Consider the following 17005-nt stretch of genomic DNA (forward strand, 5'->3'; position numbering starts at 1 on the left):
TATTTTGAAGAATCTAAAAGAAGGATATGGACCCATGAGTAGGGAAATTGGAAATTGAACAATTCCTTTCAATGGTCTCCATTTTGACTCCTTAGTCCCATTTTAAGATAAATGAAGCACTTCAAGATTTTCAGAGAAGGGTATGCAGCAATATTTTCCTAATATTTTTAGTGGAGGAAGTATGTTCTGCTCCTTAAAAAGACACCTGTATGTTGGGTTTCAGGGCAAGTTACTGTTTTCAGAATCCAAGTGAAATCTAACACTATAAAACAATGCCAAGAGCAAATGAAGGAAAACAAAAATCTAAAGGGGCACCCCTGCCCATCGTTTTGATTCTTCAAAAGTTTCTGAAAACATATGAGAAACACTGTGCGCAGTCTCAGACGTCCGTGTGTCCAGCCATCAAAAGTGACCTGAAAAGCAGCATTGACAGTGACCAGGTGCTCAGGAAGGTGAGTGTATGGTCTTGTTTTCTTATTCTTCTCTGAAATGAACTGGCTAGGGTTTACTCCCAAGCCACATGGGTACTCGGTCCTTGTGTAACCTCCCAAGGGGTTCTTTCTGCCCGCTGCACAAATAAAGACCACAGCATTGTAGTAAAAAAGAGTTTGATTGACACCAGGCCAGCCACGCCATGTAAAAGATGAAGTTATCACTCAAATCAAACTCTCTGAAAATTCAGGATTGAGGTTTTTAAGGGTAATTTGGTGGGTAGGGGGTCACAAGGTGGGGAATGCTGATTTGTCGGGTTGAAGATGAAATCATAGGGAGTTGAAGCTGTCCTCTTGCACTGAGTCAGTTCCTGGGTAGGGTCCACAAGACCAGATGAGCCATCTTACCCATCTGAGTGGCACCAGCTGGTGCTTTGGAACACAGGGTCTGCAAACTGTCTCAAGCACTGATCTCAGGTTTTACAACAGTGACTCCTAAACCATAATTTCTAATCTTGTGGCTAATTTGTTAGTCCTGCAAAGACAGTCTAGTCCCTAGTCAAGAAGGGGATTTGTTTTGGGAAAGGGTTGTTATTGTCTTTGTTTCGAAGTTAATCTATTAACATAAACTAAGTTCCTCCCCAAGTTATTCTGGCCTGTGCCCAGGAATGCGCAAGGACATTTTGAAGGTTAAAAGCAAGAAGGAGTTGGTTAGGTCAGATTTCTTTCACTGCCATAATTTTCTCAGTTATAATTTTTGCAAAGGTGGTTTCACTTGCAAGCCCAGAGCTGGCTGTGTCATCCACTCTGCATTCCTGACTGAGTGGAGTGCAAAGCCCGGCTTGCCTGCTCAGCCCTTCTCCTCCATTCCCCCTTTGACCTACATGGCTGCCCCTCCCATCCCTTCCAGAGGGCCTGTTCTCACACCACTTCCCTGGAAGGGCCACCGGCCCCTCCTCCACATCTGGAAGGCCCAGCTTGAAAGTCAGCACTTTGGTCATCACCGCAGGACCTCTGCTCCCGGCACTCCAGCCACCCCCACTGACCCCTCCAAGTGAGGGCCTCCTTCTCTTGGCTGCCAATGCGTCCCTGCCGTGAGGTCAGACCTGGTCTCGCCCATGCCTCCCCTCCTGAGGCCGGCTCACTTGGAGTGAGACCAGCAATCAGAATTCTGACTCCAAAAGCACTGGGTTTCAGAAAATATTCTGATGTCGTATCTTTTCTAAGATTAAATCTAGGGCTTGGATGTGAGGGGGAAAGAGGAGAGGAGAGGTCAGCATTGAGATGAAATGGGTAACTTGGGAAGTGGGCACCTGACAGATCAGATGGGGGAGCCTGGCACCCCAAACACATCTGGGCCAGGCCCCAACTCTTCACTTTGTACTCTGAACTTCCAGCTCCCCAGCTGGGGCTCCCTCTCTCCCTTCCTTCCCCCAAGCCTCCTTCCACCCAGCACCTCTTCCACTCTGCCATCCCTCATCCGCCTTTCCCAGTCTCTCTAATCCTTACTTTCACAGTGCCTTTGCTGGGGTCCCTGCCATGTCTCCCCGCTCATCCCAATGGAGGACCTTCCCAGAACCAGCCCTTTTGTGGTAAAATTGTTCCTAAGTCATTTTTTTAAAACTCCAGTTCTTATAATCAGCCTCCGCTACTTAATTATAAGGGCTAATCGTAACTTGTTCAAACCAGTCCCTTCAGCAATATTCAATTATTTTTTTCACTGCAATCACTGTCATAAATACAATTAACATCATGACCCCATGTGTAGGTATCAGCATGCATCAGTACCACCATAAAGGCTGTTTATATTGTGTGGGTTGCTTGGGTAGGGTCTCCATTATGATTCTGAATATCATTAAAATAAAAGTCTCATGAGATAATCATTATTATTTTTACTCCATAAGAGGCACTCAGACAATTTCCCTTCTTTTCTATTTTGTTAAAGAAGAAAAAAGAGGCTGGGTGTGGTGGCTCATGTCTATAGTCCCAGAACTTTGGGAGGCTGAGGTGGGAGGGTTGCTTGAGGCCAGGAGTTTGAGACCAGCCTGGGCAACATGGTGAGACTCGTCTCTACAAAAAATTAAAAAATTAGCCAAGTGTGGTGTCACCCACCTGTAGTCCCAGCTGCTTGGGAGGCTGAGGTAGGAGCTTGAGCCTGGGAGCTGGAGGCTGCAGTGAGCTATGATCACCCCACTGTACTCCAGTCTGGGTGACAGAGTGAGACTCTGTAGGAAGAAAGGAAGGAAGGAAGAGAGGAAGGAAGGAAGGAAGGAGAGGGGAGAGGAGGGGGCAAGGAAGGAAGGAAGGAAAGAAGGAAGAAGGAAGGAAAGGAGGGGAGGGAGGGAGGAAGGAAGGAAGGAAAGGAGAGGGAGGGAGGAAGGGAGGGAGGGAGAAAGGAAGGAAGGAAAGAGGAAGAAGGAAGGAAGGAAGGAAAGGAGGGGGAGGGAAGAAGGAAGCAAGGAAGGAGACAATGAAGGAAGGAGGCAAGGAAGGAAGGAAGGAAGGAAAGGAGAGGGAGGGAGGGAGGAAGGGAGGGAGGAAGGGAGGGAGGGAGGAAGGGAGGGAGGGAGGAAGGGAGGGAGGGAGGAAGGGAGGGAGGGAGGAAGGGAGGAAGGGAGGAAGGAAGGGAGGACGGAGAGTAGAAAGGAAGGAAGGGAGGGAGGACGGAGAGTAGAAAGGAAGGAAGGGAGGGAGGAAGGAAGGAAGGAAGGAAGGAGACAATGAAGGAAGGAGGCAAGGAAGGAAGGAAGGAAGGAAAGGAGAGGGAGGGAGGGAGGAAGGGAGGGAGGGAGGAAGGGAGGGAGGAAGGAAGGGAGGGAGGGAGGGAGGAAGGGAGGGAGGGAGGAAGGGAGGAAGGAAGGGAGGGCGGAGAGTAGAAAGGACGGAAGGGAGGGAGGAAGGAAGTAAGCAAGTATGGAAGGATGTAAGGAAGGAAGGAGGGAAGGAAGGAAGGAAGGAGGGAAGGAAGGGCTGGTTGCAACTAATTAGACTGATTTTCTGACCCAATAACACTGGGTAACCTGCTAGAAAAATCTCTGCCCTATAGGACTTTCCATGGAGCTTTGTACATGGCTGGAACTTCATAAGTTTGTCTTTAATTACCACCTCAATGCACACTTGATCCAAAGTTAATACTACTTTTTTTTTTTTTTTGAGACAGAGTCTTGCTCTGTCACCCAGGCTGGAGTGCCGTTGCATGTCTTGGCTTACTGGAACCTCCTCCTCCCACGTTCAAGCAATTCTCTTGCCTCAGCCTCCTGAGTAGCTAGGACTACAGGTGTGCGCCACCATGCCAGGCTAATTTTTCATCATGTTGGTCAGGCTGGTCTCGAACTCCTGACCTCAGGTGATCCGCCCACCTGGGCCACCCAAAGTGCTGGGATTACAGGCATGAGCCACCATGCCCGGCCCAAAGTTAATACTATTTTAAATATTCTTCTAATGTTGTTGTCTAATAAGAGTATTCCTTTTCCACATAGACTTCTCTTTATGATATCCACCGTGATCCTGTTTTTTTCTTACACTCCAGTTTATGCTTGTAAGACCCAATGACTCCCCACCAAGAATCCTACCAGTTTCCTTGGAACCTTTGCTCATGACCATTCAAGATGAGCATTACACACTGGCGAAAGAGATCTGCATCTGGGGCCTTCAACTGAGCAACCCAGAGATTGCCAGACTTGTGAGTTATGGTTTTAAAAATATTTCTTCAAACCTTAAAATTGAATATAAGCATATTATATCATGTGTTCCAGCTGTAGTTCATGTGGTTACTGACTGATATGCTACAAGATTTTCTCTAAAACAAAACAAAAACCAACACTATATTTTAAGTTAAATATTTCAAACATAAAAATGGAGAAAATATTAGAACTGACATCCATGGACCCATGACCCAAATATAATATATTTTTTTAAAGGCACAAAATTTGCAGATATTGACAAATATATTATTACATATGCATGCATGTGTTTATTTGCAAAAATGGAATTACACTGTGTGTATGATTTTGTGACTCACTCTTTTACTCTCATTATGTTGTCAAGATTTCTCCATGTTTATAAATTTCGACTGCTACCATATAATACATAACCTTCATTCTTGAAAGATAGTTTGGCTGGATATATAATTATAGATTAATTTTTTTTTTTTTTGAGACAGAGTCTCACTCTGTTGCCCAGGCTGAAGTGCAGTGGCATGATCTCAGCTCACTGCAACCTCCGCCTCCCAGGTTCAAGCAATTCTCCTGCCTCAGCCTCCCCAGTACCTGGGATTACAGGCACCCACCACCACACTTGGCTAATTTTTGTTGTGTTTGTTTTTTTTTGTTTTTGTTTTTGAGATGGAGCCTTGCTCTGTCACCCAGGTTGGAGTGCAGTGGTGTGAGCTCGGCTTACTGAAACCTCTGCCTCCCAGGTTCAAGCGATTGTCCTGCTGCAGCCTCCCAAGTAGCTGAGACTACAGGCATTTGCCACCATGCCTGGCTAATTTTTGTGTTTTTAGTAGGGACGGGGTTTCGCCATGTTGGCCAGGCTCATCTTGAACTCCTGACCTCAGGTGATCTACACGCCTCGGCCTCCCAAAGTGCTGGGATTACAGGCATGAGCCACCATGTCCAGCCAATTTTTGTATTTTTAGTAGAGACAGAGTTTCACTATGTTGGCCAGGCTGGTCTCAAACTCCCAGTCTCAGGTGATCCACCAACCTCAGCACCCGGCAGATTAACTATTTAAAAAAAAAAATTCTATTATTACTAGTGAGAAGTCATATATAGGACTTTACTTCTGAAAAGTGCAAATCAGATAATTCACACCAACCCTTTCACTGAAGACACACACACAAACACATGCACACACACATACATACATATGTACATACATATTAGGCAAGGAATCCAAGAGAGGCTGGGAGGAGACCCAGGGAGGAGAACATCACAGAGGCAATTATCCCTACAAGCATTTGATTTGTTAGAAGGCAGCTGAGAAGCTGAGAAACTTAACAGAGCTTTTGACAATCTTTCCAGTGCTAGGAGACACTGACTTTCTGGGGAAGCCCTAATAAACTTTCTTGTGCTTTGATTTGAGACCATGAAGGGCCACAGCCTAAGAACAAAGCCAAACTGCAGGTAGACAGGTCCTCAAGGGACTATAGATTGATTTCTGATAATCTCAAGTCCCGAAATTAGATTGAAGGAGCCTGGATTGCTGGTGCCCTCATGGGTCCAGACGCATATGAAAATACCCCCTGAAAGACAATTATAATGTCTTATGCCTCAAATTACAAATTACACCTGTAAACAAGTTTGTGGAGTTTTGTTTGTTTGTTTGTTTGTTTTTGAGACAGAGTTTCACTCCATTGCCCAGGCTGGAGTGCAGTGGCATGATCTTGGCTCATTGCAGCCTCCACCTTCCAGGTTCAAGTGATTCCCCTGCCTCGGCCTCCCCAGTAGATGGGACCACAGGCATGTGCCATCAAGCCCGGCTAACTTTTGGATTTTTAGTAGAGACAGGGTTTTGCCATTTTGGCTAGGCTGGTCTCGAACTCCTGACCTCAGGTGATCCATCTGCCATGGCCTCCCAAAGTGCTGGGGTTACAGTCATGAATGGCCATGCCCACCCTAAAATCTTAATAAATGGGTTTAACAGCATTTTTGATAGATGTAGAGAGATAATTAGTAAAATAAGGACAGATCAGAAGAAAATATGAAGAAAGAATGAAGCATGAAATAACAAAAGAAAGAAAAGTCAGAAGAAAAGGTAAGAGACATAAGTAGATAAGCTGGTCACTGTGGCTTGTGCCTGTAATCCCAGCATTTTGGGAGGCCAAAGTGGGAGTAACACTTGAGGCCATGAGTTTGAGACCTGCCTGAGCAACATAACAGGACCTCCTCTCTAAAAAAAAAAAAAAAAAAAAAAAATTAATGAGCCAGATGTGGTGGCACATACCTGTAGTCCCAGCTACTCAGGAAGCAGAGACAGGAAGATTGCTTAAGCTCAGGAGGTGGAGGCTACAGTGAGCCATGACCACACCATTGCACTCCAACCTGGACAACAGAGCAAGACCTTGTCTCAAAAACAAAACAAAAAAAAAAGAGGCAGACATAGTAGATAAGTGAGATAATCAACATATGTGTAATTGAAGTCCCAGAAGGAGAGGAGAATGAGAATGGGACAAAAGCAATACTTAACTAAACTGGCAAAAGACATAAACCACAAATTCAAATAGAGTTATTAATCCCAAGAAGGTTAAACACAAAGAAAATTTAGAAACATCATAATAACACTATTAAAGACCAAAGAGAAAGAGAAAATATTAAAATTAGTCAGTGAAATCACACATTACCTTCAAAGGAGCTGCAATAAAACTGGCATCTGACTTTTCAACAGAAACAATGGAAGTCAGTTACCAATAGAATATCTTCAAAATGCTGGAGGGAAAATGCCAACTAAGAATTCTATGCCCAACAAAAATAGTTTTCAAAAATGGAAGTGAAACAAAGACATTGTCAGACCAACAGAAACTGGAAGAATTTGTCACAAGCAGATCTTCCCTAAAAGACATACTAAAGCACATTCTTCAAAGAAAAATGATCCCAGATAGAAGGTTGGAGGTGCAGGAAGAATCAAAGAGCCATGAAAATGGCTTTCTTATAGAACTTAAGGGGGCTCCAAGATGGCCAAATAGGAACAGCTCCAGTCTACAGCTCCCAGGGTGAGCGACAAAGAAGACGGGTGATTTCTGCATTTCCAACTGAGGCACCAGGTTCATCTCACTGGGGCTTGTCGGACAGTGGGTGCAGGACAGTGGGTGCAGCCCACAGAGCGTGAGCCAAAGCAGGGTGAGGCATCGCCTCACCCGGGAAGCACAAGGGGTCAGGGAATTCCCTTTCCTAACCAAGGGAAGCCGTGACAGACAGCACCTGGAAAATCAGGTCACTCCCACCCTAATACTGCACTTTTCCAATGGTCTTAGCAAATGGCACACCAGGAGATTATATCCTGCGCATGGCTCGGATGGTCCCATGCCCTCAGAGCCTTGCTCATTGCTAGCACAGCAGACTGAGATCCAACTGCAAGGTGGCAATGAGGCTGGGGGAGGGGCATCCGCCATTGCTGAGGCTTGAGTAGGTAAACAAAGCAACCAGGAAGCTCGAACTGGATGGAGCCAACCACAGCTCAAGGAGGCCTGCCTGCCTCTGTAGACTTCACCTCTGGGGGCAGGGCATTGCTGAACAAAAGGCAGCAGAAACTTCTGCAGACTTAAACGTCCCTGTCTGACAGCTTTGAAGAGAGTAGTGGCTCTCCCAGCACAGAGTTTGAGATCTGAGAACAGACAGACGGCCTCCTCAAGTGGGTCCCTGACCCCCCAGTAGCCTAACTGGGAGGCACCTCTCAGTAGGGACCGACTGACACCTCATACGGCCTGGTACCCCTCTGAGACAAAGCTTCCAGAGGAACAAACAGACAGCAACATTTGCTGTTCAGCAATATTTGCTGTTCTGCAGCCTCTGCTGCTGATACCCAGGCAAACAGGGTCTGTAGTGGACCTCCAGCAAACTTCAACAGACCTGCAGCTGAGGGTCCTGACTGTTAGAAGGAAAACCAACAAACAGAAAGGACATCCACACCAAAATCCCACCTGTACGTCACCATCATCAAAGACCAAAGGTAGATAAAACCACAAAGATGGGGAGAAACCAGAGCAGAAAAGCTGAAAATTCTAAAAATCAGAGCGCCTCTTCTCCTCTCAAGAAATACAGCTCCTCACTAGCAACAGAACGAAGCTGGATGGAGAATGACTTTGACGAGTTGAGAGAAGAAGGCTTCAGACGATCGGTAATAACAAACTTCTCCGAGCTAAAGGAGGATGTTCGAACCCATCGCAAAGAAGCTAAAAACCTTGAAAAAAGATTAGACAAATGGCTAACTAGAATAAACAGTGTAGAGACCTTAAATGACCAGATGGAGCTGAAAACCATGGCACAAGAACTACGTGACACATGCACAAGCTTCAGTAGCCGATTTGATCAACTGGAAGAAAGGGTATCAGTGATTGAAGATCAAATAAATGAAATGAAGCGAGAAGTTCAGAGAAAAACGAGTAAAAAGAAATGAACAAAGCCTCTAAGAAATATAGGACTATGTGAAAAGACCAAATCTATGTCTGATTGGTGTACCTGAAAGTGACAGGGAGAATGGAACCAAGTTGGAAAACACTCTTCAGGATATTACCCAGGAGAACTTCCTCAACCTAGCAAGGCAGGCCAACATTCAAATTCAGGAAATACAGAGAACGCCACAAAGATACTCCTCAAGAAGAGCAACTCCAAGACACATAATTGTCAGATTCACCAAAGTTGAAATGAAGGAAAAATGTTAAGGACAGCCAGAGAGAAAGGTCAGGTTACCCACAAAGGGAAGCTCATCAGACTGACAGTGGATCTCTTGGCAGAAACTCCACAAGCCAGAAGAGAGTGGGGGCCAATACTCAACATTCTTTTTTTTTTTTTTTTTTTTTTGTACTTTAAGTTCTAGGGTACATGTGCACAATGTGCAGGTTTGTTACATATGTATACATGTACCATGTTGGTGTGCTGCACCCATTAACTCATCATTTACATTAGGTATATCTCCTAATGCTATCCCTCCCCGCTCCCTCAACCCCATGACAGGCCCTGGTGTGTGATGTTCCCCTTCCTGTGTCCAAGTGTTCTCATTGTTCAATTCCCACCTATGAGTGAGAACATGCAGTGTTTGGTTTTTTGTCCCTGCAATAAGGAAAGAATTTTCAACCCAGAATTTCATGTCCAGCCAAACTAAGCTTCATAAGTGAAGGAGAAATAAAATCCTTTACAGACAAGCAAATGCTGAGAGATTTTGTCACCACCAGGCCTGCCTTACAAGAGCTCCTGAAGGAAGCACTAAACATAGAAAGGAACAACTGGTACCAGCCACTGCAAAAACATGCCAAATTGTAAAGACCATCGATGCTAGGAAGAATCTGCATCAACTGATGAGCAAAATAACCAGCTAACATCATAATGACAGGATCAAATTCACACATAACAATATTAACCTTAAATGTAAATGGGCTAAATGCTCCAATTAAAAGACATAGACTGGCAAATTGGATAAAGAGTCAAGACCCATCAGTGTGCTGTATTCAGGAGACCCATCTCACATGCAGAGACACACACAGGCTCAAAATAAAGGGATGGAGGAAGATCTACCAAGCAAATGGAAAACAAAACAAAACAAAAAGCAGGGGTTGCAATCCTAGTCTCTGATAAAACAGACTTTAAACCAACAAAGATCAGAAGAGACAAAGAAGGCCATTACATAATGGTAAAGGGATCAATTCAACAAGAAGAGCTAACTATCCTAAATATATATGCACCCAATACAGAGGCACACAGATTCACAAAGCAAGTCCTTAGAGACCTACAAAGAGACTTACACTCCCACACAATATTAATGGGACTTTAACACCCCACTGTCAACATTAGACAGATCAACGAGACAGAAAGTTAACAAGGATATCTAGGAATTGAACTCAGCTCTGCACCAAGCGGACCTAATAGACATCTACAGAACTCTCCACCCCAAATCAACAGAATATGCATTCTTCTCAGCGCCACATTGCACTTATTCCAAAATTGACCACATAGTTGGAAGTAAAGCACTCCTCAGCAAATGTAAAAGAATAGAAATTATAACAAACTGTCTCTCAGACCACAGTGCAATCAAACTAGAACTCAGGATTAAGAAACTTACTCAAACCACACAACTACATGGAAACTGAACAACCTGCTCCTGAATGACTACTGGGTACATAACAAAATGAAGGCAGAAATAAAGATGTTCTTTGAAATCAGTGAGAACAAAGACACAACATACCAGAATCTCTGGGACACATTTAAAGCAGTGTGTAGAGGGAAATTTATAGCACTAAATGCCCACAAGAGAAAGCAGGAAAGATCTAAAATTGACACCCTAACATCACAAGTAAAAGAACTAGAGAAGCAAGAGCAAACACATTCAAAAGCTAGCAGAAGGCAAGAAATAACTAAGATCAGAGCAGAACTGAAGGAGATAGAGACACAAAGAACCCTTCAAAAAATCAATGAATCCAGGAGCTGGTTTTTTGAAAAGATCAACAAAATTGATAGACCGCTAGCAAGACTAATAAAGAAGAAAAGAGAGAAGAATCAAATAGACGAAATAAAAAATGATAAAAGGGATATCACCACTGATCCCAAAGAAATACAAACTACCATCAGAGAATACCATAAACACCTCTATGCAAATAAACTAGAAAATCTAGAAGAAATGGATAAATTCCTGGACACATACACCCTCCCAAGACTACACCAGGAAGAAGTTGAATCCCTGAATAGACCAATATCAGGCTCTGAAATTGAGGCAATAATTAATAGCCTACCAACTAAATAAAGTCCATGACCAGACAGATTCACAGCCAAATTCTACCAGAGGTACAAGGAGGAGCTGGCACCATTCCTTCTGAAACTATTCCAATCAATAGAAAAAGAGGGACTCCTCCCTAACTCATTTTATGAGGCCAGCATCATCCTGATACCAAAGCCTGGCAGAGACACATCAAAAAAAAGAGAATTTTAGAGCAATATCCCTGATGAACATCGATGCAAAAATCCTCAATAAAATACTGGCAAACCAAATCCAGCAGCACCTCAGAAAGCTTTTCCACCATGATCAAGTGAGCTTCATCCCTGGGATGCCAGCCTGGTTCAACATACGCAAATCAATAAATGTAATCCAGCATATAAACAGAACCAAAGACAAAAACCACATGATTATCTCGACAGATGCAGAAAAGGCCTTCGACAAAATTCAACAGCCCTTCATGCTAAAAACTCTCAATAAATTAGGTATTGATGGAACGTATCTCAAAATAATAAGAGCTATTTATGACAAACCCACACCCAATATCATACTGAATGGGCAAAACTGGAAGCATTCCCTTTGAAAACTGGCACAAGACAGGGATGCCCTCTCTCATCACTCCTATTCAACACAGTGTTGGAAGTTCTGGCCAGGGCAATCAGGCAGGAGAAAAAAATAAAGGTATTCAATTAGGAAAAGAGGAAGTCAAATTGTCCCTGTTCGCAGATGATGTGATTGTATATTTAGAAAACCCCATCGTCTCAGCCCAAAATCTCCTTAAGCTGATAAGCAACTTCAGCAAAGTCTCAGGATACAAAATCAATGTGCAAAAATCACAAGCATTCCAATACACCAATGACAGACAAACAGAGAGCCAAATCATGAGTGAACTCCCATTCACAATTGCTTCAAAGAGAATAAAATATCTAGGAATCCATCTTACAAGGGATATGAAGGACCTCTTCAAGGAGAATTACAAACCACTGCTCAACGAAATAAAAGAGGACACAAACAAATGGAAGAACATTCCATGCTCATGGATAGGAAGAATCAATATCATGAAAATGGCCATACTGCCCAAGGTAATTTATAGATTCAATGCCATCCCCATCAAGCTACCAAAGACTTTCTTCACAGAATTGGAAAAAAAACTACTTTAAAGTTCATATGGAACCAAAAAAGAGCCCACATTGCCAAGACAATCCTAAGCCAAAATAACAAAGCTGGAGGCATCATGCTACCTCACTTCAAACTATACTACAAGGCTACAGTAACCAAAACAGCATGGTACTGGTACCAAAACAGAGATATAGACCAATGGAACAGAACAGAGCCCTCAGAAATAATACCACACATCTACAACCATCTGATCTTTGACGAACCTGACAAAAACAAGAAATGGGGCAAGGATTCCCTATTTAATAAATGATGCTGGGAAAACTGGCTAGCTATATGTAGAAAGCTGAAACTGGATTCCTTCCCTACACCTTATACAAAAATTAATTCAAGATGGATTAAAGACTTAAATGTTAGACCTAAAATCATAAAAACCCTAGAAGAAAATCTAGGCAATACCATTCAGGACACAGGCATGGGCGAGGACTTCACATCTAAAACACCAAAAGCAATGGCAACAAAAGTCAAAATTGACAAATGGGATCTAATTAAACTAAAGAGCTTCTGCATAGCAAAAGAAACTACCATCAGAGTGAACAGGCAACCTACAGAATGGGAGAAAATTTTTGCAATCTACCCATCTGACAAAGGGTTAGTATCCAGAATCTACAAAGAACTTAAACAAATTTACAGGAAAAAATCAAACAACCCCATCAAAAAGTGGGCGAAGGGTATGAACAGACACTTCTCAAAAGAAGACATTTATGCAGCCAACAGACACATGAAAAAATGCTCATCATCACTGGCCATCAGAGAAATGCAAATCAAAACCACAATGAGATACCATCTCACACCAGTTAGAATGGCGATCATTAAAAAGTCAGGAAACAACAGGTGCTGGAGAGGATGTGGAGAAATAGGAACACTTTTACACTATTGGTGGGACTGTAAACTAGTTCAACCATTGTGGAAGACAGCGTGGTGATTCCTCAAGGATCTAGAACTAGAAATATCATTTGACCCAGCCTTCCCATTACTGGGTATATACCCAAAGGATTATAAATCATGCTGCTATAAAGACACATGCACATGTATGTTTATTGTGGCACTATTCACAATAGCAAAGACTTGGAACCAACCCAAATATCCATCAATGATAGACTGGATTAAGAAAAATGTGGCACATATACACCATGGAATACTATGCAGCCATAAAAATGATGAGTTCATGTCCTTTGAAGGGACATGGATGAACCTGGAAACTATCATTCTGAGCAAACTATCACAAGGACAGAAAACCAAACACTGCATGTTCTCACTCATAGGTGGGAATTGAACAATGAGAACACTTGGACACAGGAAGGGGAACATCACACACTGGGGCCTGTCGTGGGGTTGGGGGAGGGGGGAGGGATAGCATTAGGAGATATATCTAATGTAAATGATGAGTTAATGGGTGCAGCACATGTATACATATGTAACAAACCTGCACGTTGTGCACATGTACCCTAGAACTTAAAGTATATATATATAAAAAAAGAACTGACTGTTAATTTTATATGGAGATATAAGTGGTGAAGAATAAGCAAGACAATCTTGAACAGAAGATCACAGTTGGAGAATTTTCTCTAACAGACGTTAAACACTTCTTATAGAGAGCTACAGAAATTAAGATAGTGTAATATTGCTACAAGTATAGATAAGTAAACCAAGGGAAAGAATAGAAAGGCTGGAAACAGAGTCTTACCTATATGGACGTTTAATTATTGACAAAGATGACAATACATAGTATCAAGGAAAAGATGATCTTTTCAATCGATGATAATGAGACCACTGGAGATAAGTGTGGGGGACAAAGAAGTTTGACCCCTACTTCACATCATACCCCTAAATCAATGCTGGTGGATTACAGAGTTGAAAGGCCAAATAAAGTTTCTAGAAGGTAATATAAGAAAATATCATCATGACTTTGGAGTGGAGAAACACTTTTTTTAAAGTACACAAAGAGCACTAATCGTAAAAGAAAAGATTGATTAAGTTAGACTCCATTAAAACTAACAACTTTTGTTCATCAAGTATCACCATTAACAGAGTGAAAATGCAAGCTACAGTACTGGAAAAGATATTTGCTACATATATAATTAAAAAGGATTCTTAGGCAGGATGTATATATAACTCCGACACATCATTAAGAAAAAGACAAATAATCCAATAGAAACATGGTCAAGAAACTTGAATAGGAACTTCACAAAAAAAGAAACCTATCAAAATAGCCAATAAGAATATTAAGAGGTGCTCAACCTCATTAGGAATGAGTGGAATTCAAATAAAAAACATTAAGAGATACCAATACACATCCACTGAAATAGTGAAAATAAAAGTACATCATCAAGTGTTGGTGAGGAATTGGAGCAACTGGAATTTTTATACACTGTGGTGGGAGTGTGTATTCGCACAGTCACCTTGGAAAACTGTACTGTAGTATCTACTGATTCCAAAGTCTGTGGTCCAGCAGTTCCACTCTAGGTATATATCCAACATGAATGTATGTACATGGGCACCAGGAGACTTAGAGAAAAATGTTCTTGGAAATCAAGAACTAGAAACAACCCAAATTTCCATCAACAATAGAATAAATAAATAAATTGTGGCATATTCATATAGTGAGACACTATGTAGCAATGAAAATGAACTAACTGTAGCTATACAAACATAAAATATGATGACTGTCACCAACATAATGCCTGCAAATGAAGAGAGGCACAAACAAATGAATACTGTATGTTTGCATTTATGTAAAGTTCAAAAAACAGGTACAACTATAATGTTTGATTATCACAAAATTATGTTTAGGGAGGAAGGAGGAAGCAGAGAATAGGAAAGGACACTAGTAGTCATTTTCTAGTCTCTTACTTTTAAAAAAAATCCTTTATTTTATTTCTTTGAATGTGTTAAAGTTATTTTGTATTCTGTCTAATAGTTTCAATAATCTGAATTATTTGGGGCTGATATTGTGATCTCTTGCTTCTACTGGCTCTTACTCATGGTGACACCAATTTGTGTGTTTTGTGATTTCCTTTTTACTGTTAACTCATATTTCCTGGGATAATGGTTGTGGCAATTTCCTGAGCTCTGGTTTGAAGAGAACTTCCTCTTCAGGGCTTGAATTTGTGTCTGCCATTCACTCTGGGTGCTACCATCCCAGGGTTATATTAAATTAAATTATTGACCTGTGATTTCTTTGAACCATCCAGATGGTTAATTAACACAGGGTGCAAAACTGTATTAGAGCTAGTTTGTGAGTTCTCAGGAGATACATTTTTTCCTCATATTTATCAGTCTGAGATAGGCAATTTTCCCTAGGGTCCTTTGGGAAAAAAAGAGAGTTAGGTATTTATTTCTAGTTATCCTTACTCTAAGAGAAAAAACCTATGGCCCACTTTGTATTTGGGGCCATAACTTCATGTAGCATTTTCTACTGGACTCCTTGTCTCCAGTGTCTATGACTTTATCTCCTATTCCCTGGACTCCACGATCCATGAAAACCAACTACTGTTTGAGTGATACTCTCAAAGGAAAGCTGGAGTCAGTGCTCTGCATACCCCACTGGGCTCCCACTTTCTCTCATTCATTGATCTTTGGGTATTCCTCACTAAACTGCCAGCCCATCGACACATTTTAAAAAGATATATATATATTTTTAAATCCTTAGAAGAAAACATAGAGGAAAAGCTTCATCACCTTGGATTTGGCAATTATTTCTTGGAAATGACACCAAAGGCACAGGCAAAAAAAAAGAAAAAGTAGATAAATTTGGCTACATCAAAATGTAAAACTTCCATGCACCAAAGGACGTAATCAATGAAGTGAAGAGGCAAACTTATGGAATGAGAAAAAATAATTGCAAGTTGTATATCTGATAAGGGGTTAACATCTAGAATATATATATATAAAACTATTACAACTTTGCCGGGTGTGGTGGCTCATGAGAGTTCGAGACCAGCCTGGCAACATGGTGAAACCCTATCTCTACAAAAAATTAGCCAGGCATGCTGGCATGTACCTGTAGTCCCAGCTGCTCAGGAGATTGAGGCGGGAGGATTGCCTGAGTCCGGGAGGTGGAGGTTGCAGTGAGCCGAGATCACACCACTGTACTCCAGCCTGTCCTGTCATGGGAAAAAAAAAAAAAGAAAAAAGAAAAAAGAAAAAAAAACTGCTACAGCTCAACAACAAAACAGCAAGCAACCTGATTTTTTTTTTTTTTTTTGATATGGTGTCTCGCTGTGTCACCCAGGCTAGAGTGCAATGGTGTGATCCATCTCAGCTGACTGCAACCTCCGCCTCTCAGGTTCAAGCGATTCTCATGCCTCAATCTCTCGAGTAGCTGAGACTACAGGTGCACACCACCATGCCTGGCTAATTTTTTTTTTTTTTTTTGTATTTTTAGTAGAGACATGGTGACCTCAAGTGATCCACCTGCTTTGGCCTCCCAAAGTGCTGGGATTACAGGTGTGAGCCATCATGCCTGGCCACAACCTGATTTAAAATAGGCAAGGAATTTAAATAGACATTCATCAAAGAAGATATACAAATAGCCAATACATGCACGAAAAGACGTTCAACATCACTAATCACTAAGGAAATGCAAATCAAAACCACAATGACATGCCAACCTCACCATCAAAAATAAAAAAATAAAAAAGATAAAAAACACCCAGAAAATAACAAGTGTTGACAAGGATGTGGAAAAGTTGGAACCTTGGGCACTGTTGGTGGCAATGTAAAATGGTGCAGCCAGTAGGGAAAACAGTATGACGGTTCCTCAAAAAGTTAAAAATAGAATGACCATATAATCCAGCAATACCACTTGTGAATATATACCCCAAATAATTAAAAACAGGATCTCAAAGAGAGACTTCTATACCCATGTTGACAGCAGCATTATTCATGAGAGCCAAAAGGTGGGAGCAACCCAAGTGTCCATCAACAGATGAATGAATAAACAAAATGTGTTGTATACAGACAATGGAATATTA

The 17005-nt window shown here is 41.9% G+C and overlaps 1 pseudogene across 1 annotated transcript in view, besides 2 other annotated features; it reads left to right on the forward strand.

Moving 5' to 3' along the window:
- Positions 1 to 379: 379 nt before the first annotated feature.
- Positions 380 to 17005, forward strand: part of LRRC78P (leucine rich repeat containing 78, pseudogene) — a 57876-nt pseudogene continuing 41250 nt past the window's right edge. Inside the window, exons 1-2 of the transcript NR_136190.1 lie at positions 380 to 452; positions 3961 to 4113. The product of NR_136190.1 is annotated as a leucine rich repeat containing 78, pseudogene (transcript). The remainder of the gene's footprint in view (positions 453 to 3960; positions 4114 to 17005) is intronic.
- Positions 913 to 1433: an enhancer, noted in NCBI's record as "H3K4me1 hESC enhancer chr3:141382574-141383094 (GRCh37/hg19 assembly coordinates)". NCBI's record gives its function as "activates a minimal SCP1, AML or CMV promoter by ChIP-STARR-seq in naive H9 embryonic stem cells {active_cell/tissue: H9 hESC(naive)}" and the evidence as "EXISTENCE:reporter gene assay evidence [ECO:0000049][PMID:30033119]".
- Positions 1434 to 1953: an enhancer, noted in NCBI's record as "H3K4me1 hESC enhancer chr3:141383095-141383614 (GRCh37/hg19 assembly coordinates)". NCBI's record gives its function as "activates a minimal SCP1, AML or CMV promoter by ChIP-STARR-seq in naive H9 embryonic stem cells {active_cell/tissue: H9 hESC(naive)}" and the evidence as "EXISTENCE:reporter gene assay evidence [ECO:0000049][PMID:30033119]".

This window comes from Homo sapiens, chromosome 3 (genome assembly GCF_000001405.40).
Source record: "Homo sapiens chromosome 3, GRCh38.p14 Primary Assembly".
Lineage (NCBI taxonomy): Eukaryota > Metazoa > Chordata > Mammalia > Primates > Hominidae > Homo > Homo sapiens.